Here is a 21,713-nt window from a genome sequence, read left to right on the forward strand (position 1 = left end):
GGGTCGCACACTGTCAGGGAGGAGAAATCCTTGCTCATGTCCACTGTGGGCTTGGCTGGGGCTTCCTTTAGTTTCCTGTAGCCCAAAGCCTGGGCCCTATCTGCAGCATGGGGTGCTTCCCCCGTACCCTCAGAAGAGCCCCTGGTGGCCCTTTGCCTCTGAGCTGCTGAGGGAGCCCTGCTTCTTTGTCCTCCCGAACCCACGACTTTTTTTTTCTGAGACAGAGTCTTACTTTGTCACCCAGGCTGGAGTGCAGTGGCGCGATCCCAGCTCACTGCAATCTCCGCCTCCTAGGTTCAAGCAACTCTCTTGCCTCAGCCTCACAAGTAGCTGGGATTACAGGCACCCGCCACCATGCCTGGCTAATTTTTCTATTTTTAGTAGAGATGGGGTTTCACCATGTTGGCCAGGCTGGTCTTGAACTCCTGACCTCAGGTGATCCACCTGCCTTGCCCTCCCAAAGAGCTGGGGTTACAGGTGTGAGCCACCACACCTGGCCCTTTGTCCCGTTTTTGAGGAGTGAGGCAGGAGCCTGTCCAGAGGCCAGGATATCCTCTGACAGGCCGGCCTCCTAGGAGGGTGTTTGCCCCTGAGCCCGGATGTGTTTCCTACTCATCTGCCGCTGGACGGCACGTTAGGGAACCCACCACGGACGTGTGGAAACCAGGCCAGAGGCAGAGGCACTGGTCCAGGGCAAATAGCAAGTTCTGCAGCCTCCCAGGCAGGGTCCCTTGGGTGTCCCAGGGCCTCTGTCCAGCCCAGGCAGGGGGCAGAGCTGGTCTGCAGTGCTCATTAGCACCTTCGCTGGGCCAGCACTGGGCAGGGGCCAAGCCGCAGAGATTTATGAGATGGGGTCCCTGCTGGGCCTCTTTATTTTGTGGCTGATGCAATGAATGAGAGACTTTTCCTTCTTCATTCAAAATCAGCTGGGGAGCAAGAATCAGGAGGTAACAGAGATAAGAATGACACGGAGAATGGGGTGCAGTGGCTGCGGTCTCCCTGACACCCTCCTCTGAGCTAGGCAGACTTACCCGGGTACCCAGGGCTGGTGGGGAGGGAGGCAGTGGCTGTGGCCTCCCCTGCAGGCCTGAGACTGCCCTGTTGGTCCCCACCCGGAGGAAGCAGAGCAGTCTCACACCCCCTGCACGTGGGCGGGTCTGAAGAGCCAGGCCTGCACCTGGTTCCCTAGGCCCCCAGCAATGATGGGCATCCTGGCCCCCTGCCCCCTTGTGGGGACCTGGCGGAGACTCCAGTGGGGTCCCCGACCCTGCTCTTAAGGAGGCCCCTTGCCTGGGAGAAAGGCTTGTGGCTCGCTCCAAATTCACAGAGCCGAGTGCGGAGCTCGATGGTGGGGTGGGTGTTTGGGGAGCACAGAGGGACTGAGGTTCATGGGTCACAGAAGGTGATTCCTATCCCTGGGCGCAGGTGCTAAGGGGTGGCTGTGGTTAGCAGGTCTGGCAGGGGTGTGAGGGTTAAGTTCTGTTTGTCCAGCGAGGCTGTCTGGAAGTTCTCAGAGCTCAGACCTGGGGGCTGCTGCGTGGGGGCATCGGTGTCAGGCTGCTGCTCTGGTCTCCCTGTGAGTCCACCATGGGAGTGGAGTCAGAGGGGGCCAGGAGGTGATGGCCCCCACCCCTGGGAGCTCCTCTGTCCTTGCTGCCCCCCTCGCCTTGGCCACCTCCAACTCCATGGCCGCCATTCTCCCTCCCCTGCCTCCACTGGGCTGTTGGGAGCTGGGGTGGACTCTTCAGGTCAGGGGGAGACCCTGGGATCCCTGACAGAGCCCCGGGTGTGTCCCCAAGCCCGCCGAGCCGAGTTCCCCGACAGAGCCCCGGGTGTGTCCCCAAGCCCACCGAGCTGAGTTCAGCCCTGCTTTTGCTCTGACAGCACACTCGTGGGCAGGTCATTTCTCCATGTGAGTCTTGGTCCTCTTTGTAAAACGAGAGGGAAGGAAAGGAGGCTGTGCAGGCTCTGATGAGGGTGTGTGAGTCGAGAAACTCCATGCCCAGTGACAAGGACAGTTGCTGATTCTTAGCATCCACCCCACCTGCTCTCTCAGTAACCGATGTCGTTTCTTACTCTTGTGATCAGGACTAAAGCACAGGGTCATCCCATGGCTGCTTTTGGATCACAGGGAGTCAGGACTCCAAGGGCCTCGAGCGTTACCTGGTCCAGGCCCATTTTACAGATGAAGGCACTGAGCCCCAAATCACGGAAGTCACTTAGAGGTCACAGAGCAAGTGAAATGAACAAGGTGTCTGATTCCCAGGAAGGTTCTTGTCCACATAAAGAAAGTGGCCCAAGACTTCCAGGGCCCCAGAGGGAGCTGTCGGGTCCATTAAGTGTTACTGGGGTTTTTGGTCCCGGTAAGTGTCATTAGCCATGTCCCCCAACCGGTTCTTAGACATGTCCTGATGCAGATCCAGGAGGGGCTGTGGGAGTGTCTCTGTTCTTGTCACCCCAGGTGCCTGTCCCCGCAGGGTGTCAGCCCGCGCCAGGAGCTCTCACAAAACCTGTGTGTCTGGGGAGGCACTGCCCAGAGCGTCCTGGACATGGTGGTGGCCAGTCTTTAAGGGGAAGCGCTGTGTGTGGATGCGGCAGCTGGTGTCATGCTGGAGACGTGGCTTCTGAGAGTACCTACCGCAATGACAGGAGGATGGCACGCCTCTGAAGTTTCTCTGTTTCCTTCTGCAGACGTGGTTAACTTGGACCTCAAATCCACCCTGAGGGTTCTTTACAACCTGTTCACCAAGTACAAGAACGTGGAGTGACGGGGGAGCTGTGGATGGTGGCAGGAGTGTCCCAGCAAGAAAGGCGGCATCCGTCTGTGCCCTGTGCCTTTCCAGGGAGCCAGGCGCCATGGGCTTCTGGTCCAAGCTGTGTTGACTGTCATCCCCACCCCACCCCTACCTCACGCCTGCCCCACCCCCTGCCTCTTTTGGTTGTTGTTCTTAATCTCCTCTCCATGTAGTTCCCAGTGGGCAAGAGCCTTTGAAAATGCAGGATTCTAAACACTCGTGCTTGCGTTTGAAGCCTCGCGTCACTCAGTCGCGTGGGATGATGAGTCCGTTGTTGTCTGCCTTGGCCGAAAGATGAAAAAAAGCCTGAACCCCAACCCCCAGCTGGTTGAGAGCACCCTGCATTCTGCCTCATGGTGCAGTTAGCGATCACAGGCCTTCAGAAGTACAACATCAGCTCAGCAGGAACGCCGGCTCCCCGAGGACCCAGGCTTGACGATTCACCGGGGATCTCCTGGGCTGGGCTCTCCTTGGAAGTGAGGCCTTTTATTAAAAATAAAAGGGTTTTGCAGTTTGAAAAACTTTAAAGTCCCAGAAGCTTAGATGTGACATGGGTGTCCTCCACCCACATTCCTATCACTTCTTGGTCACTCGTTTTAATGTAGGTTTTGCACAAACATCCAAGACTCAGGATGGCCCAGCTCCCACAGTCCTTGAAAGGAGCTGTCTGCTGGGGACGTTTCTTAATTTCTTGCTGTGGTTGAGGGGCTGGGTCTGGAGATGGCTCTAATTGTGCTGCTTGAGACAGCTTGGGTCACAGCTTTCCCCTTCAGAGGCCCTTTTTGGGAATGAATGCATCTTTGGAAACTTTAAAATGAGGGGGGTGCATTGGTTCACTGGCACTGTGTAGTAAAGTGCCACAGGGGAGTGGCTCAGACATCAGAGAATTACATCCTCAGGCCTTTCGCCTTGGCTTGTAGATGCCGGCTTCTCCCCGTGTCTTCACATGGTCTCCCCTCTGTGTGTCTGTGTCCTCACCGCCTCTTTTATTTTATTTTTTATTTTTGTTTTTATTTTTTGAGACAGAGTCTCGCTCTGTCACCAGGCTGGAGTGCAGTGGTGTGATCTCAGCTCACTGCAACCTCTGCCTCCCAGGTTCAAGCGATTCTCCTGCCTCAGCCTCCCAAGTAGCTGGCATTACAGGCAGGTGCCACCACACCTGGCTAATTTTTGTATTTTTAGTAGAGACGGGGTTTCACCATGTTGGCCAGGATGGTCTTGATCTCCTGACCTCATGATCTGCCTGCCTCAGCCTCCCAAAGTGTTGGGATTACAGGCGTGAGCCACTGTGCCCAGCCTATTTTTTTTTTTTTTTTTGAGACAAGTTCTCACTGTGTCACCCAGGAGTAAAGTGGTGCCATCTCAGCTCACTGCAGCCTTGATCTCCCAGGCTCAATTGATCCTCCCACCTCAGCCTCCCAAGTAGCGGGGACCACAAGTGCACACCACTAGGCCCATCTAATTTTTGTATTTTTTGTAGAGATGGGGTTTCACCATGTTGCCCAGGCTGTTCTCAAACCCCTGGGCTTGAGCGACCCACCCACCTCAGCCTCCCAAAGTGCTGGGATTATAGGCATGAGCGGACATGCCCAGCCTGCACCCCTCTTTTTAGAAGGGCTGCGGTCCTATTGGATTAGGGCCCACTTATATGACCTCATTTAATCTTGATTACCTCCATAAAGACCCTGTCTCCAAATACCATCACATCAGAGGTGCTGGGGTTAGGACTTCAGCATGTGGATTTGTGGGGGGCATAATTTGCCTTGTACCGGGAGGATATGAAGTGTTCATGTTACTCTCCCTGTAGCCCTGAGAGCATCTCCCTTAGAGTATCCTATAAAAGGAGTCGCTGCTCACTCAGTTATGGGTTGTTCACCCCCTCGCTCACCCCAGCTCTGCAGAGAACTGGGGATCCCATCGGCCATGCTTTCTGGGCTGGCCTCTGGTCGCAGTCAGTCCCTCGCTGTGGCGCCCCCCCCTCCCCCAGCTCCTTCCCAGGGTGATGACCCGCTGACCCCCTGGGGTGCACCTGCTGCAAAGCAGCCCCCTTCCTTGGCATCTCTCAGCATTCTCCGTAGTGAGCCTGGCCTTTCTGATCTTGTTAGCTTTTTGTCTTCCTGCCGCAGATCAGAGCTTTGGAGTAAGTTTTGATATGAAATCGAATGCCAACACCGAAGTTTTAGAAAACAGTTTAATATTCCCTCTCAGTTCCGGCTGTTGCTAGGCTGGGGATGGGTTCAGAATAGCCATTTTGATGGAGGTGATTTCCCAGCAGGGGAAAGAAATAATTAAAACAGCATTACGGTGTCTCTTGCGGGATGCAGTGACATTCAAAAGCCACACTGACAAAAAGCCTGGGGCTGGAACGTTCTGTGCTGCCTGCATGGCATGTACAGGACCGCGGCCCCCTGGAGCTGGTGGAGTGGCCCAGCCTTGCCCTGCTCACAGGTGGACCTGGAGAGGGCACTGTGCCTTCCCAGGGATTGGGATTTGAAAAGAACAGAGCTTGGCCAGGTGCGGTGGCTCACGCCTGTAATCCCAGCACTTTGGGAGGCTGAGGCAGGTGGATCACTTGGGGTCAGAAGTTCGAGACCAGCCTGGCCAACATGGTGAAACCCCATGTCTACTAAAAATACAAAAATTAGCCATGCATGGTATGTATGCCTGTAATCCCAGCTATTCGGGAGGCTGAGGCAGGAGAATTGCATGAACCCAGGAGGTGGAAGTTGCAGTGAGCTGAGATCATGCCACTGCACTCCAGCCTGAGCAACAGAGTGAGACTCTGTCTCAAAAAAAAAAAAGAAAGAAAAAAGAAAAAGAAAAGAACAGAGCTGTGATTTTCAGCCAAAATGAGCAGCCCTGGCCCATTCTGTGTCATCAGAGGGGAGAGGACGGTTACTGTGGGAGGGGGCTTCAGCTTCTCAGGGAGGTCCTGGCGGCCCCCATCTAGTAAACCAGTAAACCCATGCCTATCCTCATGCCCACGTCACACTCTTGTGGGTTTCAAGTCGAACAGTAAAAGGAATCATAAGATCTGTGGGGAAGCTACATGGGCACTTGTGTTTCACAACAGGGACCCTTAAAGGCGATGTTTCCAGCAAAGGATGTGATTTTTTTTTTTTTTTTTTTTGAGATAAGTTCTCACTGCGTTGCCCAGGCTGGAGTGCAGTGGTCATTCACAGACACACACATAGCAGACTACAGACTACAGCCTTGAACTCCTGGGCTCAAGTGATCCACCCACTTCTGTATCCTGAGTCCCTGGAACGGCAGGTGCACACCACCGCACCCGGCTTGGATGTGATCTTTTGTCCACATTCTTTTCCAATTGGTTCAAAGGTGTAGGTGTGCCTTTTGCATACCTGGGAAGGGCCCCATTAGGCTCGACTCCTCATTTTTCTCCATTCACCATCAGTTTGAGTCTGAATTCATAGCATGGCCTGGACAGATGCAGCAAGGGGCCAGTTCCAAGGCAGAATTCAGGGTGAACTCGATTCCTATAGGCTTGGGATGAATGGCTGCTGGGACATGAGGCTTGGGTGTGAGATGCCCCGTCTGCTGCTGCTCTTGGTTCTTAGTTCAGAGAAATTCTGGGACCCTTCCTCCTCCCGGCACCACGTTTTCAGTGAATGGTTCTTTGAAGAGGAACCCTGGTCCATAGGAACTGAGTGAAAGCAAGGCCAAGTATGTCCACCCATGGGGACAAACGTCCCAGCACAAAGGGGTCTCAGGCCTGCAAGGCCCAAGTGGACGCTCGGACAAGGGCAGGAAGGTATTTGCTGATTCTCCTTCTCCATGTGACGTGTCTCTCAACCCACACCAGCTAGGGGAGCCTCCCGCAGCTTCAGTTCCCCTTTGACGCCCACACAGTGTTATGCAAGCACCGAGCCCAGAGTCCCGCTGGGCCGTGGTGTCCTAATTGTCTTGGTGACAAAGAGCAATTTTATTTTAAAGCAACTGAATCCTTTCCCCCTGTTTTGTGTGCCAGTATTTTACTGTCTTCTTAATTGTTTTAAGCAATGTTTACTTTGGATTTCTGGATGTTATATAAAAGCCACGAAAACCCTGGCCATGCTGTTTGTCAGGCCCACCTGGCTGAGTGCAGGAAGCAAGCGCTTTTCAGGAGCTCACTGCAACACCGGGCAAACACTTCTTCCGCCAGGGATGCGGTTAGGACAATGCCACGTGGCGTCACAGTATGCTGTTATTTATTCCAATAAAGACCTCGTGAGCATGGGCCTGTCCACCGTCTTTGTTTGGCTGCTGTTTTAATCTTTCATGCATTTAGCAGTCATGGATGGTGCCAGCGAAGGAACAGGTGCCAGGGCGTTGTGACTCCACCCAGCGCTGCTTCCCGGGACCTTCCAATTGGACAGGAGCTGGGGGAAGAGCTGGTTCACAGCCCTTTGTGGGGGATGGGACTTTGGGAACCCCAAACTTCTGCTGGGACCACAAGGAGAAGAGGGCAGCAGAGTCACAGCTGCAGGTGAGTAATAAAGGCTCATCTGCCCCTCTGCCTGGGTCCAGACCATACGTGCACAAAGCTAGCGGCCAGGAGCACAGGCTGCATGACACATGGAGGTGGTCTCCTTACTTTTCATGATGTGACGTCACTGGGCCTTGCATGCTGACCAGTAAGTGACCGCTGTTGACTCTGAAAGGCAAGGAACCCCTGTGTGGCGGAGATGGTGGCCTGCCCTCCGTGCTGGCCCTGCCATAAACTCTCCTTGGCACAGGTCATAGCAGGTTTCAGGTGCGTCGAATTTTACGAAATGATGATAAAATTGTGACTAGTCCAGGATGGGTAGCCTGGAGAGAAAGGCAACCACGCTATTAAAAAAAAATAAGCTAAAAATTATAAACTGTGGATGGAAGGAATCTGGGCTTTGGAGAAGTGCCTGGGTTTGTGTCCAGGTTTGTCACTGTGTGACCGTGACTGCGGGGAGCGAAGTAATCCACACCTTCCAGCTGAGGGTTCTGAGGGACAAATTCAACCTCCTTCTTTCAAAGTCAGCCATTGTCAGCAGAGAGGGAGGTTCTGCCCCTTGGGGGATCTTTGGCAATGTCTGGAGACAGTTTGGGTTCTGGGCAGGTAGCTGGTGGGGCCCGGGTTACAGCTTAACATCCCACAGTGCACGGGACAGGCTCCCTTCTCCCCAGCAAAGAATCACCGGGCCCCCCTGTGCACTGTGCTGAGGTTGGGAAGCCCTGCAGTAGAGTGCCAGGTCCTTGAGCTGGCCTGTCTTCGCCTGCACTTTTATTGGGTAGGACTCAACTGTTACTATTGATGAGGATAAAATATTTTCCACTGAAATGCCGAGTTTTCAAGGCCAGCAATGGTGCAGAACCTTCTGGGGATCTTCCGATTGGTTCTGTTCAGCAGTCGTTTACCAAGGGTCTGGTTTGTCCAAGGCTGGGGCAAGTGGCCAGTGAGAAGAGCGTCCCCTGCCCTTGAGCTGGTGGAGTGAGAGAAAATGCCCAGAAAGGAGGGGTGCGGGTGGGGCAGGGGAGTGAGAGGGAACTCCCAGAAAGGAAGGGTGCAGGTGGGGCAGGGGGGTGGTTACCTGTCTGGAGAGGGACAGCTGAAGCCTGGAGATGGTGTGGTGGAAGCCAGTCTTCGAGAAGGAACAGGACCTGAGTGCTTCAGGTGCACCGGAGTAGGGACTAATCCAGGTGGCTTTAATTCTTTGTCTATTATAAAAATTGGTTTTGGGCTGAGCCTAGTGGGCTCTGGCTCATGCCTGTAATCCCAGCACTTTGGGAGGCCGAGGTGGGCTGATCACTTGAGGCTAGGAGTTCAAGACCAGCCTGGCCAACATGACAAAACCCTGTCTCCGCTAAAAACAAACAAACAAAAAAAAAAACCCACAAAAAATAAAAATTAGCTGGGCATGGTGGCGCACACCTGTAATCCCAGCTACTCGGGAGTCTAAGGCATGAGAATCACTTGAACCTGGGAGGCGGAGGTTGCATTGAGCCGAGATCACCCCACTGCACTCCAGCCTGGGTAACAGAGTGAGACTCTGCCTCAAAAACAAAAAAGAAAAGTGTAGGTGATATAGGATGGTTCTGAAGATGCTCTTAGCCTGACCTGATTCTCCGACCTTTCTCACTTGTTCTCAAATATAACTGCCGTCCGGGCACAGTGGCTTATGCCTGTCATCCCAGCACTTTGGGAGACTGAGGCAGGTGGATCACCTGAGGTCAGGAGTTCAAGACCAGCCTGGCTAACATGGTGAAACCCTATCTCTACTAAATATAAAAAAATTAGCTGGGCGTGGTGCCAGGCACCTGTAATCCCAGCTACTAGGGAGGCTGAGGCAAGAGAATCACTTGAACCCAGGAGGCGGAGGTTTCAGTAAGCTGAGACTGCACCATTGTATTCCAGCCTAGGCAACAAGAGGGAAACTCGGTCTCAAAAACAAAAAACATTGCTTCTGTCCCATTCTTTCAGGCCAATGCACTGGTGTGAGCTGCATGTCCCCAGAAAGGCCCCCCAATTCAGCCGTCACCTCCCCAGGGGGCCGTGGTGGGGAGGGGGCTCTCTGCTTAGGACAGGGCCCCTCCTTTCCTGGTGGCCAGTCTCTGGGGGAACTGACATTGCACGGCCACTTGCCCTCAGATGTGACAGAACTGGCAGAATCTGAGAATCTCGAGAAGGAAGGGACCTTCTGAGGTCACCTCTGTTCATCCTTACCCAGGCAGGAATCCCCGGCCACCGCAGGGACGGGCATCTCTGTTCCTTCCGCAAGGACAGTGCCCTGGGGTTGGGCAGCTCAGAATTAGTGAGGTTTTCCGTGGAAACCCACTCTTTGGGGTTTAAATTTGATTTAATACACCATCATCATCTTCACCAGGGTGAGGCTTTGCCCTGGGGCAGGGGGTGGGGAATCCCTGTGTCCAACACAGTAGGACCTGGAGCATTCATTGGGTCAGTGAGTAGTGGGAGCCTGCTGTGTGCCGCTGAGGCGTTGGGTGTGGGGGGGTGGGGGTGTGCTAGGGCACAGGAACCAGGAGAGAGTGGAGTGGCAGGTGGACAACACAGTGAGGCCGATGAAGAAATGCAGCTGGGGGCAGGTCTGGGACGAAGATGGAGCAGAGGGCTGCATCTGGGCATAGAGGCGGGTAAGGAGGTCTCTGACACCAGGGAAATGGGGCAAAGGCCACATATTCTTCCAGTCCCCAGCCCCTCGGATTTAGGTGGCCATGTGGCTGGTCCTAACAGCCGGGACATGGTCACACCGGACAGCTTTTAGGAAAGACTGTCACCTTAAAGTATGCAACACCTTTGTGGATGTTTGGTGTGTTTTCGAAACATCCACACAGGGTTCTGATGTTCTCGATGGCTTTGGAATGTAGTGCTAGATTTCCTCCCACAATCTCATTCTTAAAATGTATTGCCAAGGTGAGCCTGAAACACTGTGCCGGAAAGCAGGGAAGCACAGTTGTCCCTGGTATCCTCTGTGGAGTGAATCCGGGACCCTGGAGGATACCAAAATCTGAAGATGCTCAAGTCCCTGATATCAAACTGCACAGTATTTGCATATAACCTACGCACATCCTCCTGCATACTTTAAACCAGCTCTAAATTACTTATGATACCTAATACAATGTAAATGCTATGTAAATAGTTGTTACACTGTATCACTTAGGGAATAATGACGGAGAAAAATTCTGTATGTGTCTGGTACAGATGCAATTTTTTCTTGATATTTTTAATTCGTGGTTGGTTAAATCCATGAATGTGCAACCAAGGATATGGAGGGCCAACTGTACTCAAGGAATGATGGGGACATGTCAAAAGGACAGAGGCACAAACAGCGTCCACATTTTGGATACTTCAAGCATCTGAAGGAGCAATGTGGAGTATAACACATTGGATTTTTTTTTTTTAATTCGTGCACTTAGAGTGATATTAAACTAGGATGAGAGCAAAGGCTTTTTTTTTTCTTTTAACATTTTACTTTTATATAGTTTCAAACCCGCAGAAAAGTTGCAGGAATACTACAAAGAGTTCCTATGTGTATTAATCCATTCTCATGCTGCTAAAAGAGACATACCCAAGACTGGGTAATTTTAAAAGGAAAAAGGTTTAGTGGACTCACCGTTCCACATGGCTGGAGAGGCCTCACAATGATGGTGGAAGGCGAAGGAGGAGCAAAGGCATATCTTACATGGCGGCAGGCAAAAGAGTGTGTTTAGGTGAACTGTCCTTTATAAAACCAACCAGTCTCATGAGACTTATTCACCATCATGAGAACAGCATGGAAAAACCCGTCCCCATGATTCAGTTACCTCCCACCAGGTCCCTCTCATGACACGTGGGGATTATGGGAGCTACAATTCAAGATGAGATTTGGGTGGGGACATAGCCAAACCATATCACTATGTTTACCTGGAGACTCATGAATGTTAACATTTTTACTTTATCCTCTTCACTCTCTTTCTGTCCCTGCCTATCTGCCTCTCTCGATATAATAATAATGATATATATTTCTTTAGACGCACACATTTACCTGGTGATATATATATTTTCTGAATCTTTGAGGGTAAGTTGCATGCATTATATCCTCTTCACCTCTAAATACATCAGTGTAGCTTCCTAAAAGTGAAGACATTCTCTTCCATAATCTCAGTATGTGTCATAATCAGGAAATAACATTGATACAATGGCATTGTCTAATCTACAAACCTTAATTGTGTTTTTTTCCAATTGTCTCAATGATGTCCTTTATGCCAAAATAAGAGGCAGGACAAGGCATTGAATGAGTTGTCCCATCTCTCCAGCCTCCTGTAGTCTGGAGTGGCCCTTCAGTCTTTCCTTATGTTTCATAGCCTTGATTCTTTGGAGAATCCAAGCCAGTTATGTTCCAGAATGTCTTGCAGCTTGGATTGATCTAGTATTTTCCTCGTTATTAGATCCAGGTTATGCGTTTTCGGTAGAAGTGATGTGTTCCTCTCAGCGCATCATTACCAGGAGACATGTCATGTTGATTGTTTTACTTTCTTATGATGTTAATTTTGATTACTTAGCATGTGAGCACACGTCTGTGGTCCCAGTTACCCAGGAGGATCACTTAAGCCCAGGAGTTCAAAGCCGCAGTGAGCCGTGATCACACCACTGCACTCCAGTCTGACAGAGTGCACTGTTTCTATTTTTAAAAAATATATATTACTTAGTTAATATAGTGTTTATCAAATTTGTACACTAAAAAATGTAACTCTTCTTTGTAATCGATCAATATTTATGAGGAAAGAATTTTCACTTTTGGAGTTACCTTTCCATCAGGAATAACTAGAAGCCTCCACAAAACACAGGAAACAGTTACTTCAGACATTGGACATGCCTTTGCTCCCCCTTCACCTTCCACCATGACTGTGAGGCCTTCCCAGCCATGGTGGAACTGTGAGTCCATTAAACTGTCTTTCTTTATAAATTACCCAGTCTTGGGTATGTCTGTTTTAGCAGCATGGAAATGGACTAATACACATAGGAACTCTTTGTACTTTCCTGCAGCTTTTCTGTGAGTTTGAAACTATATAAAAGTAAAATGTTAAGAGGCGAGTCAGATCTGTGATCCCCAAGAAAAGGGTGGCAAGTGAGGTGAGCCCTACCCTGGTCTTGGCTTTCTGCCTGGACATAATTCCTGGACTGTGCTGTAGTGAGGGGGACCCAGACAGAGCCAGGTCTCACTGATTTAAGGAGACAAAGATCAGAGCTTGCAGAGATTACGCTTATTAAAAACAGACATCAAAAGAATATTTCTGCCAGAAAAATTCCAACACTTCTTAAAGAAATGCAACAAAATTCAGCACGCGACGACATAAAAATTTAATGTCTAGCATTCAATAAAACATTATTATAAAGAAGCAGGAAACTGTGACCCACAATCGGGAGAAAAATCAGTCCACAGAAGCAGACCAGGAAATGACAGAAGTGATAGATTCTACAGGACAACTGACCTGGATGTTTAAAAAATGTTAGTGTCGTGAAAGATTGTTCTAGATTACAGGGCTCTAAAGAGACATGAAAACCAAATGCAATCACATGTGCTGTGTGATGCCTGAATGGATCTTGGATTAAAAAAAATACAGCTGTAATAGACATTTTTTGAAGCCTTGGTGAAGTTTGAATGTGGATGAGATATTAGAAAACCTTCTATCAATGCTAATTTTCTTAGGTATCATAATGGTACTGTGTTATGCAGGAGAATGTTTTTAGGAGAAACATTCTGAAGTATTTAGAGATATCCCTAAAGTGATGTGATCCCTGCAATTTATTTATTTTTTATTAATTTTTAAAAATTTTAGTTGTGGTTAAAAATACACGTAACATAAAATGTACTGTCTTAACTATTTTTAAGTATACAGTTCAGTAGTGTTTGGCATATTTGCACAGGTATATTTCACACCGTGTCTCTGAAAAAAAAAAAGGCTGGAATAATTCCCTTCTATCCATGCCTTTCTCTTAATTGGGGTTTGGGGGTGCTTGGACTTATCTCCATGTTACTCTTCCAATTCTTAGAGTCCCTCTCTTCCCCTAAACAATGCTCTACACACAAGAGGCTTTGTGAGTTGTGGATTTAGTCTGTTGTAACTCCACACCATACAGGATTAGATTTCGCATCTGATTCTTACATCAGCCCTGCAGCCCCAAGAGATGAGAGATAGCTTTGAGGGCTATCAGAGAACTCCCTGTATTCTGCACATACCTTGAGCTGAGAATGTAAAGCCCTGGGACTGTCCTTTTCTTGCTTTAAACTCTTTGGTGTGATGATAACAAGCTCACCCCACAGTCCTTAGATAACCTGTGCTCGTATTGCGTATGGAAGCCACAACTCTGCCAAAGCCACAATTTAATAGGTACTTCGTTCTGAGTGATGACAGGTAATTATTTTGCCATCACAGGCTACGATCTATTAGAACTCCATTCTCTAACAGTTACTAGGTCCCCACTGCCTTTAAATCAACCAGAACAAGTAACCAATCCCAGTTCCCATCCTGGAGGTCGTGTTGCCTGCAATTGTTTCTGGTAACAAATCCGAAGTTAATTGGGATTCAGTTGCCGATGATTAGAGTCTCTTCAGTTGTTTGGAGGAGAAAGGAATCTAACATAGGAAGCTGTGTGATTCTCAAGCTGTTGGAAGGCTGGAGGCAGCGCCTCCAGCAAGGACTCTTGGAAGAATACTGCAGAGCTGGCTCCTGAAGGAAGCTGCCGAGTCAGGCTGGCCCTAGAAGCATGCTTTCTGGGTTGAATGCTTTAGGTTCACCTCTGCAGATCCACTCCCCACCATTTTCTCTCCTCACATCTATGGGCCGCAGCAGGGGACTTCTTTTCTCTGGCTTCTGGCTGGATGTGGGCAGGGGAGGCCCTGGCAGGAGGGAGGAGAGTGAGGCTTGGTCATTGATTCCTCCAGCTGTGCCCTTCTGCTGGTTCACCATGAGCTGGCTGTGTCCCTCTACCAAAGGCCACAGCTCCTATCCCGAGGCCCCTCTTAGAGCTTCAGTGATTCTGTTCCTGGGCTCTGCCACCCACTCCCTCCTTCACCCTCTAGGTTTTGAAGAAGTAACAGCTCCCCATGTTGCTAGCCTGGGGTGTAGCACTGTCTCTTCTGGGTTCCTTTAACCCTGCCCCAGCTGTCCCTTTATTAAACAGTCTTCAGTTAGCACATGGGAATATACCGTCTCTTTGCTGCTGGGACTGTGACTGCTGCTACATCTATGTGGCTGTGATCCAGAGTCAGAAGCCACCACCAGAACCACTGTGTCCAGAGCTGGGCTGAGCCTGCTACACACGCCCCAGCAAAATAGGTCCTGCACGGTGGCTTCTCTCCCCACCTGTTACAAGCCCCAGTCTAGCACGGGCACTTCAGAATGGCAGGGACTGACTCATGTGCCTCAGTGTCTTCCTCTGTAATATGGGGGTGATGATTGTACCTACCTCACAAGGAAGTTTCCAGTAAAATGAAAGCCCTTAAAATTATGTTTGTTTCATCACCAATGACTCCATAAATATTAGCAACAATACCAGTACTAAGTTTTGTCATTTTTTATTAACTTCTTGTAAACGACCCTACTTTCCTGCTCTCACACACTCCTTACACCTGCATCCCACCTGATTTAGCCACTTTCTGCCTAACCTGTCAGAAAGGGTAGATAGCTTCCCAGTCACCTGTTGCTAGGGAAACTCACCATTTCAGCCCGGATGGTGAAGATTCCAGCTTGAGAGACCAGCTCGGGTCTGAAGTGTTTCTCTATCTACTGTGCTGAGATCTCTCCTTCTCGAACCCTGCTATGCCTTTGCATACGCTGTTTTCTCCACCTGCCACGTTCTCACCCCTTCTTCTTCCACTGCAAACTCCTATGCAGCCGTCAAGGCCCCATTCTCCTCTGGAAAGCCTTCCCGATCCCCTTGGCAACAACCACCACCAATATTTATTCACTGAGCCCACTTTGTGCCAAGCATTGTTCTAGACACGGGTATGTAACCGCGATTGAGAGAGACAGACCACGCACAGCCTGGATTTTATTTTAAGAGCTATTGGGTGCCGTTGGTGGGTTTGAGTGAGTGGGGTCAGGAAGTGACTCACTCCTCCGAGGGCTTGTGGGAGCCTCAGCTCAGGGGCGGGCAGGGGGCGTGGGGAAGTCTGCAGCCGAGAGTCCAGGTAGGAGTCTCCTGCGTGGTCCCGGGAGAGGAAGGGGCCTGGCCCGGGGCGGGGTGTGGAGGTGGGAGGACGGCGGTGCGGGATGGAGGGTGGAGGCCAGGCTGACAGGGTGCTGGTGGTGGGTTGCGGGGGTCGACCCCAGGCTCTGGCCTATGTAGCTGCCATTTTGGAGGTGAACAGCCTGCGGGGAAACTGGCATGGTTTGGGGAAGGCGGGGAGAGGGGGAGAAATGAAAGCATTGAGTTTAAGTGGCCTGCAGAACCCCGGGGGCCCAGGCGGCACGGCGGGCGCTGGGGCTCCGGGCAGAGCTTTCTGGAGGTTTGTGGCAGCTTCACTTTCACGGCATCCACCCCCCTCGGGCCCTGCCGCAGAGAGGAGGAAGCTCCTGCCGGCTGAGCGGGCCTGGAGGAAGTGAGCAGCGGGGCTCCTGCCTCCCGGCCTGGTCCCCGAAGACCCCAGAAGAACCCGGAACTTGCTTCCATTCGGAATCCAGGGACCACCCTTTGCACTCAGTAGGCCTTTGTTTTCCTGCGTGGAAAGCGGTTGGGTGAGTTCTGGCATCGGGGCCACCATACTTGAGTGTTGGGGGTCACGGAGGGAGGGGCCCAGACACCACCTGGGAAGGATCCCAGAGTGCAGTCCCAGCCCAGGCCACCCGGGGAAGGGAGTCGGTAAAGTGGGACCTTGAGTCCCCACGGCCCCTCCGGCTGCCCCTGCTCAGAGGCTGCTCGGCGTCCTCCCTCCCTGTTCTACTGAGGAGTTGCCGCCTCTGAACTTCAGCCAACCCCTCCGTCTCCAGGTGAAGAAACTGAGGCCCTGGGGCCAGGAAGGGGCTTGCCCAGGCTGCTGATCCCTTTGGGCAGCATCGAGTCCAGGCCCTCCTTGTAACCATGCATCAGGACCAGAGAGGGCAGGGGGTTTGCCCAACGTCACACAGCCTGAGTGAGGAGGAGCTGGCCTGGGACCCAGGCTTCCTGACGCCCAGGCCAGGCTCTTTCGTTTTCTCTGGCCATGGCCCTCAGCTTGGATATTAAGGGGCTGGGAGTCAGTTGTGTCCCCACCACCTCCATGCTACAGGGCAGGATGGAGTCTGGCATCCCCCGCCCCAGGCTGGCTGCTGGTGTGACATGGGTGGCTCCAGTCGAGTGAATGCCTCCGTCTCCCACAGCTCAGGGGGCTCCCTGCTCTGGCCACCAACTTCTGCCATGTGACTCCCCTACCTCAATGTCTGATTGAGTTTGAAAACACTGAGAAGACCCAGGGGCTGAAAAGGGAGGAAGAGGGAGGCCAGAAGGCGCCAGCCGAGCCAGCGAAGCCTTCACAGGAGAGGAAGTGGGCCAGGGGAACAGGAAGGAGGGCTGGGCTGGCCTCTGGGTCTGCCCCTGTCCCGGGCATGTGGTGAGCCCAGCCTTCTGCCTGTAATGAGGAGGAGGAAGATGAACAGTGCCTCTGTCAACCCTGGCCCTTCCGGTTTATGGGATGGGAGATGTCACCATTCCACGTATCCACCTCAGCCAGCCCCACACAGGCCGACCGGGGAGGTTTCCCTTGAGCTCAACCTGACAAGCTCTGAGGAGTGAGCTGTACCTACTTTGTCCTGTCTGGGATAGGGTGGGGGGTCCCTGGGTAGGGGGCTGGGGGCTGCAGGAGCACGGTGGGCGGCCGCTCTGCACCTGCCTGAGGAAGGACCACTTCCTCCGCCAAGCCTTTGCTTGGCTGTGCCCGCCCTCAGCTTCTGTGCCTTTTTCTAACCCGTCACCCCGCAAGGGTTGGCTCAAGGGCTCTTTCTCACAGGGCCCGTACCCCCTGCCTAGGCTGGCATGCTGACGTGTCCCCAGAACCTGGCTTCTACCCTCCTTCTGTGCCTCCAGGTCTAGAGAAAATGAGGGGCTCAGTGAGTTTGGGGCTTCTCAGACCGTGACGCCCTCTCCTGCCTCCTCTGTGCAGGCTTGGGAGGCGATGGAGCCGGAGTTCTTGTACGACCTGCTGCAGCTCCCCAAGGGGGTGGAGCCCCCAGCGGAGGAGGAGCTCTCAAAAGGTGTGTGCCCACGCAGGTCTGAGGGTGGAGGGTGAAGGTCTGTGTGGCAAGAGTGAGCCTGGCCATGCCTGGGACTTGCAGCACCTTCCCAGCTGTCAGCTGAGCGCCCAATTCTGCTCACCCCTGCCTCCACCTTCTGCTTTATGCTTGACCTAACTCCTCCTCCTGGGACCTTCTACAGAGCTAGAACCTCTTCTCTCCAGATGAGAGACGGTGTGGATTACGATGGTGAATACTGATTGCTCTCATCCTGTGAGCCTTCTGAGTGCCCCTACTGCACCAGCACCTCTTACCAATAGCAACTCATTTATTCTCAAGGGCGGGCATCAGTGCCTGCTTTATACAGATGAGGAAACTGAGGCACAAGGGGTGACGTGCCACAGTAACAGGAAACTCTTAGCAAGTGGTGGACCTGGGTTCTGAGCCCAAGGAGGGTGGTCCCAGAACTGAGGTTCCACACGGACCACGCAGCGATGCCCACCATGGAGTGATACTTTGCAGGGTGTGGGGCTCCTGACGTGCTCCCCTCACACGTGTGGGTCCCTTTCAAAAGTGGGGTGAGCATAGGATGGAGCAATTCAACGACTATAGGTCGCCCTTTCAGTAAAGCTCTGTGTCATGAGCCCTTTGGGGGGTTGGCGGCCACAGTTCCTGCAACCTCCCTTCTAGGAGATGGCTCAAAAGAAGGACATGGGCAGGTACCCAGAGCTGTCACCCTCTCTGTGTTCTCTGAAAGAAACAAATGAACAACAGCTTGCAAGGAAGCAGCGAGATGTCCCAGTGGGGAAGGGCTTTAGGTGAACTCATTGGAATTTATGTAACCACAAAAACATAAATGTGCTGACAAAGAAAATGTGTGAAATAATTTAAGGGAAGGGAGCAGAATGCGGCTTTCTCCAGCTCCTGTGAATACCGCCTTTTAATGTTTATTTATTTATTTTTTTCTTGAGACAAAAATCTCACTGTGTCACCCAGGCTGGAGTGCAGTGCCAGGATCTCGGCTCACTGCAGCCTCTGCCTCCCAGGTTTAAGAGATTCTCCTGCCTCAGCCTCCCAAGTAGCTGGGCTTATAGGCACCTGCCACCACACCTGGCTAATTTTTGTATTTTTAGTAGTGACGGGGTTTCACCATGTTGGCCAGCTCGGCCTCAAACTCCTGACCTCAAGTGATCCACCCGCCTCGGCCTCCCAAAAGTGCTGGGATTACAGGCGTGAGCCACTGCACCCAGCCCTGAATGCCGCCTTTTAAGTAGGTGTTATGGAGCGAGAACTCCAGTGCCAACAGGGTCCCTGGCACGGCAGATGAGACCCCAGAAGGGACAAGCTTGGTCCAGAGTCACCTGGCTGTCTTTGTCACCATCTGGTATTCTGTGTTTAAAACATTGAAGATTAGAAAGTGTCCTGAGGAAAGTTGCTGAGTTAGAATAGTAGGACTTAGTTACTACCAAACAAAACAAACAAAAAAACCCATTAATTTTTTGTTTTACAACTGATTTAAATTACTAAAAGTTCTGGCAAGCAGAGCTGGGACATTGGATGATTCAAGCGGCAAGAAGTCTGCTCCAGGAAGGAGCAGCACCATATCCATTCACTCATTCCTTCATTCCTTCCTTTCTTCATTCATTCATTCGCCTGCTCACCCGCCCAAGTGTTTGCTGAGAGCCTGCCCTGTGCTGGGCACAACAGCCCATGACGCTGTTGCCTTCCCTTTCATCAGAAGACATGGGTCTGGGTAGTACTTGAAGGTTTTCAGAATACCTAGGAAAAGCCTTTATTGGGGTCACATGAGAGATGATGCATTTTGTGAATTTAGGCAAGACAGTCGCCACTGCTGACTCAGTATCCCCCCATGTACCTTGGAACTAGTTGATCTCAGAGGTCCTTCTTGGCCCTGACATTTTGTGGGTTCTGTGAGTCTAAAATGTGGGCAGATGCTGGCCATGGCCTTGGGGAAGGGGAGCTGCTGGGCCTCTGAGGGCCACCCCGGGGAGTCTGACTACGAGAGGGGCCATGGAGGGGCCTGGCAGACCTGGGGTAAGTCCCACCTTAGCCCCTTAGAGCCTGGTGAGCCTGGGCACCTCCTCCCCTCTCTGGCTGGGGTTTCACTTTACCTAAATAGGTAGGGTTGCCAGATATATCAAACATAGGATACCCAGTTAACTTTGAATGTCAAGTAATCAAGAAATAACTTCCGAGTTTATGTCTCAAAGTATAAATGCTGCAGTGTCTGAGGATGAGCTGGTGTTCGTGAGGGAAATGAGGGAAAGCACGCTGGGGCGGAAGTGGCAGGACCGGTGCCCCTGGGTCTGCGGTGCTGAAATCTGTGGGTGACCTGCAGGGAGTGTGGCCAAGCGCCCCACAGGGTCCCCATGCGCTTGTCATACCCACTCTGCTTCCAGGAGGAAAGAAGAAATACCTGCCACCCACTTCCCGGAAGGACCCCAAATTTGAAGAACTGCAGAAGGTACAGCAGCCTCCACAGCCCTGACTTCCCTGGGTGCCTCTTGGCAGACCAGGCAGCGGCCTCCACGGGGCGGGGACAGCAGGCTGTCCCCACTCCTTGGCCTCAGGCTGGGGGGTGGCGACCCCCGAAGACCCCTGGAAGGCCTGTTGAATGGAGCAAGTCACCCACAGAGCCTGCATGAACAAACATCTATTGAGCACCAACTGTGTGCCTTCACATACACCATCCCAGCAACCCCATGGGATTTGAGGGGAATCTATTATCCCTTACATCCCGGGGACAGGACAGACAGCAAGGCTTAGACAGGTGACCTCATCTGTCAGGGGCACGCAGCTGCCCGTAACGGAGCTGTGGTTTGACACGAGCTGCCAGCCCCTAAGCCCGTGCTCCTCCCCAGCTTGTCTGCCCAAGGTGTAGGAGAACTGGTGAGGTGGTGGTGGTGGGCCTGGGTCACCCATTCTTAGTTCTCTCCTTGGTCATGGGTCTGCTGCTATGGCCACTGGACCAGCTCGGCACAGGTGGGCTCCAGGCCTCTGTTTCCCTCAGCGTCTGTGTCTCCAGTCTCCACATGGCCTCTCTGTTGCCTCCTCCAGGGAGGCCTCCTGGCCTACACCATCTTCCATACCCAGAGGCTTTGTGGGCCATTTCCCATCCTCCTTCCTATTCCCTCACTCCATCCATCCACCTTTCCCACCTTTGACCAGCACACCTGGCCCAGCCCTGTGACTGGCACTGGGGACACCATCTGTGGTCTTGCCCGGAAGACCTGGTGAGGTGCTGACATGTCGTCTCAGCTCGGTCTCCTCCACAGGCTGATCCAGAGACAAGGATTTGGATGCCAGTAGTTGAGTTGGGAGGTTATCCCAGGGGTCATGGGAGGGAAGGGGCCAACACATGGTTAGTGATGGAGCTGGTCATGGTTCTGGGGGCTCAAGCCTGCTGGGTACCCTGGAGCCAGCATAGAGCAAGTTCAGTGCATTCCTGCCCAAGGGGCGATGGAGCTGGGGTATTTATACACCACCACCCCTGCCCCGACAACCTCCTGACAACCTTTAGTGAACAGCTGCTCCCTGAGAAAGGGCTGGGCCTTGATTCCCTGGCACTCTGACCTTTTGAGCACAGCAGAGTGGGGACAGTTTCGAGCAGAGCTGCAGGTGGGAGCTGGGCCAGTAGGCAACAGTCAAGGAGTGGGCAGGGTACCAGCAGCCCCCGCATTAGCTTCCTAGGGCTACTGTAACATGTGACCACAGACTGAATGGCTTAAACCACAGAAACCTACTGTCTTACAGTGCTGCAGGCCAGAGGCCCTCAACCAAGGGGTCGGCAGGCTTGGCTCCTTCTGGAGGCTCTCAGGGGACCCCTGTCTTCTCCCTTTCCCCCAGCTGTGATGGCTGCAGCATCCTGGTCTCCCAGATCTGTGGATGCATCACTGCAGTCCCCACCTCCATCTTCACGTCCAATGTCATGTCCCTCATTTCCTCCTAGGACCTCAGAAGGGGCACCTTTAACATCCATATTTCTACTGACCACCTCTTCAGGGCAATCTAGGCTTTTTCTATCAAGTGCTCATTGTCCAATTCTTTCCATTCCCCAAGCCATTTCCCCATTTTTGGGTATTTGCTATGGTAGTACCCCACTTCCTGGTACTAAAACCTCACACATGATAATGACAGCCCCACACTGCTCAGGTTTGTGATGGAGAGAAGCAGGGAGTCTGCAGGAACCTGGGGCAGGCCCCTAACAGCCTGGGA

At 52.2% G+C, this 21,713-nt stretch overlaps 2 protein-coding genes across 14 annotated transcripts in view, besides 11 other annotated features; both read left to right on the plus strand.

The window, feature by feature from the left end:
- Positions 1–7,029, plus strand: part of PARVB (parvin beta) — a 173,729-nt gene extending 166,700 nt beyond the window's left edge. For all 11 annotated transcript variants that reach the window (NM_001003828.3, XM_024452236.2, NM_013327.5 and 8 more), the window contains one exon: positions 2,692–7,029. In NM_001003828.3, coding sequence (NP_001003828.1) covers positions 2,692–2,768 — 77 coding nt within the window. In that variant the 3' untranslated portion in view covers positions 2,769–7,029. The remainder of the gene's footprint in view (positions 1–2,691) is intronic.
- Positions 1,517–2,296: an enhancer, noted in NCBI's record as "NANOG-H3K27ac-H3K4me1 hESC enhancer chr22:44563307-44564086 (GRCh37/hg19 assembly coordinates)". NCBI's record gives its function as "activates a minimal SCP1, AML or CMV promoter by ChIP-STARR-seq in primed H9 embryonic stem cells {active_cell/tissue: H9 hESC(primed)}" and the evidence as "EXISTENCE:reporter gene assay evidence [ECO:0000049][PMID:30033119]".
- Positions 4,187–4,708: an enhancer, noted in NCBI's record as "H3K27ac-H3K4me1 hESC enhancer chr22:44565977-44566498 (GRCh37/hg19 assembly coordinates)". NCBI's record gives its function as "activates a minimal SCP1, AML or CMV promoter by ChIP-STARR-seq in naive H9 embryonic stem cells {active_cell/tissue: H9 hESC(naive)}" and the evidence as "EXISTENCE:reporter gene assay evidence [ECO:0000049][PMID:30033119]".
- Positions 6,523–6,702: an enhancer, noted in NCBI's record as "active region_19207". NCBI's record gives its function as "activates an Ori minimal core promoter by ATAC-STARR-seq in GM12878 lymphoblastoid cells {active_cell/tissue: GM12878}" and the evidence as "EXISTENCE:reporter gene assay evidence [ECO:0000049][PMID:35858748]".
- Positions 6,713–6,762: an enhancer, noted in NCBI's record as "active region_19208". NCBI's record gives its function as "activates an Ori minimal core promoter by ATAC-STARR-seq in GM12878 lymphoblastoid cells {active_cell/tissue: GM12878}" and the evidence as "EXISTENCE:reporter gene assay evidence [ECO:0000049][PMID:35858748]".
- PARVG (parvin gamma) overlaps positions 7,041–21,713 on the plus strand; it is a 35,519-nt gene continuing 20,846 nt past the window's right edge. The window contains exons 1-4 of one of the 3 annotated variants that reach the window (NM_001137605.3): positions 7,041–7,281; positions 15,832–16,007; positions 17,408–17,498; positions 19,898–19,962. In NM_001137605.3, coding sequence (NP_001131077.1) covers positions 17,420–17,498; positions 19,898–19,962 — 144 coding nt within the window. In that variant the 5' untranslated portion in view covers positions 7,041–7,281; positions 15,832–16,007; positions 17,408–17,419. Of the gene's footprint in view, positions 7,282–15,014; positions 15,276–15,831; positions 16,008–17,407; positions 17,499–19,897; positions 19,963–21,713 lie in introns of those variants that run through there. The other 2 variants (NM_022141.7, XM_047441455.1) reach the window with 2 other exon arrangements.
- Positions 8,860–9,592: an enhancer, noted in NCBI's record as "H3K4me1 hESC enhancer chr22:44570650-44571382 (GRCh37/hg19 assembly coordinates)". NCBI's record gives its function as "activates a minimal SCP1, AML or CMV promoter by ChIP-STARR-seq in naive H9 embryonic stem cells {active_cell/tissue: H9 hESC(naive)}" and the evidence as "EXISTENCE:reporter gene assay evidence [ECO:0000049][PMID:30033119]".
- Positions 14,276–14,325: a silencer, noted in NCBI's record as "silent region_13864". NCBI's record gives its function as "represses an Ori minimal core promoter by ATAC-STARR-seq in GM12878 lymphoblastoid cells {active_cell/tissue: GM12878}" and the evidence as "EXISTENCE:reporter gene assay evidence [ECO:0000049][PMID:35858748]".
- Positions 15,002–15,732: an enhancer, noted in NCBI's record as "H3K27ac-H3K4me1 hESC enhancer chr22:44576792-44577522 (GRCh37/hg19 assembly coordinates)". NCBI's record gives its function as "activates a minimal SCP1, AML or CMV promoter by ChIP-STARR-seq in primed H9 embryonic stem cells {active_cell/tissue: H9 hESC(primed)}" and the evidence as "EXISTENCE:reporter gene assay evidence [ECO:0000049][PMID:30033119]".
- Positions 15,496–15,625: a silencer, noted in NCBI's record as "silent region_13865". NCBI's record gives its function as "represses an Ori minimal core promoter by ATAC-STARR-seq in GM12878 lymphoblastoid cells {active_cell/tissue: GM12878}" and the evidence as "EXISTENCE:reporter gene assay evidence [ECO:0000049][PMID:35858748]".
- Positions 15,733–16,462: an enhancer, noted in NCBI's record as "H3K27ac-H3K4me1 hESC enhancer chr22:44577523-44578252 (GRCh37/hg19 assembly coordinates)". NCBI's record gives its function as "activates a minimal SCP1, AML or CMV promoter by ChIP-STARR-seq in naive H9 embryonic stem cells {active_cell/tissue: H9 hESC(naive)}" and the evidence as "EXISTENCE:reporter gene assay evidence [ECO:0000049][PMID:30033119]".
- Positions 16,463–17,192: an enhancer, noted in NCBI's record as "H3K4me1 hESC enhancer chr22:44578253-44578982 (GRCh37/hg19 assembly coordinates)". NCBI's record gives its function as "activates a minimal SCP1, AML or CMV promoter by ChIP-STARR-seq in naive H9 embryonic stem cells {active_cell/tissue: H9 hESC(naive)}" and the evidence as "EXISTENCE:reporter gene assay evidence [ECO:0000049][PMID:30033119]".
- Positions 16,506–16,595: an enhancer, noted in NCBI's record as "active region_19209". NCBI's record gives its function as "activates an Ori minimal core promoter by ATAC-STARR-seq in GM12878 lymphoblastoid cells {active_cell/tissue: GM12878}" and the evidence as "EXISTENCE:reporter gene assay evidence [ECO:0000049][PMID:35858748]".

This window comes from Homo sapiens, chromosome 22, assembly GCF_000001405.40.
Source record: "Homo sapiens chromosome 22, GRCh38.p14 Primary Assembly".
NCBI classification, from domain to species: domain Eukaryota; kingdom Metazoa; phylum Chordata; class Mammalia; order Primates; family Hominidae; genus Homo; species Homo sapiens.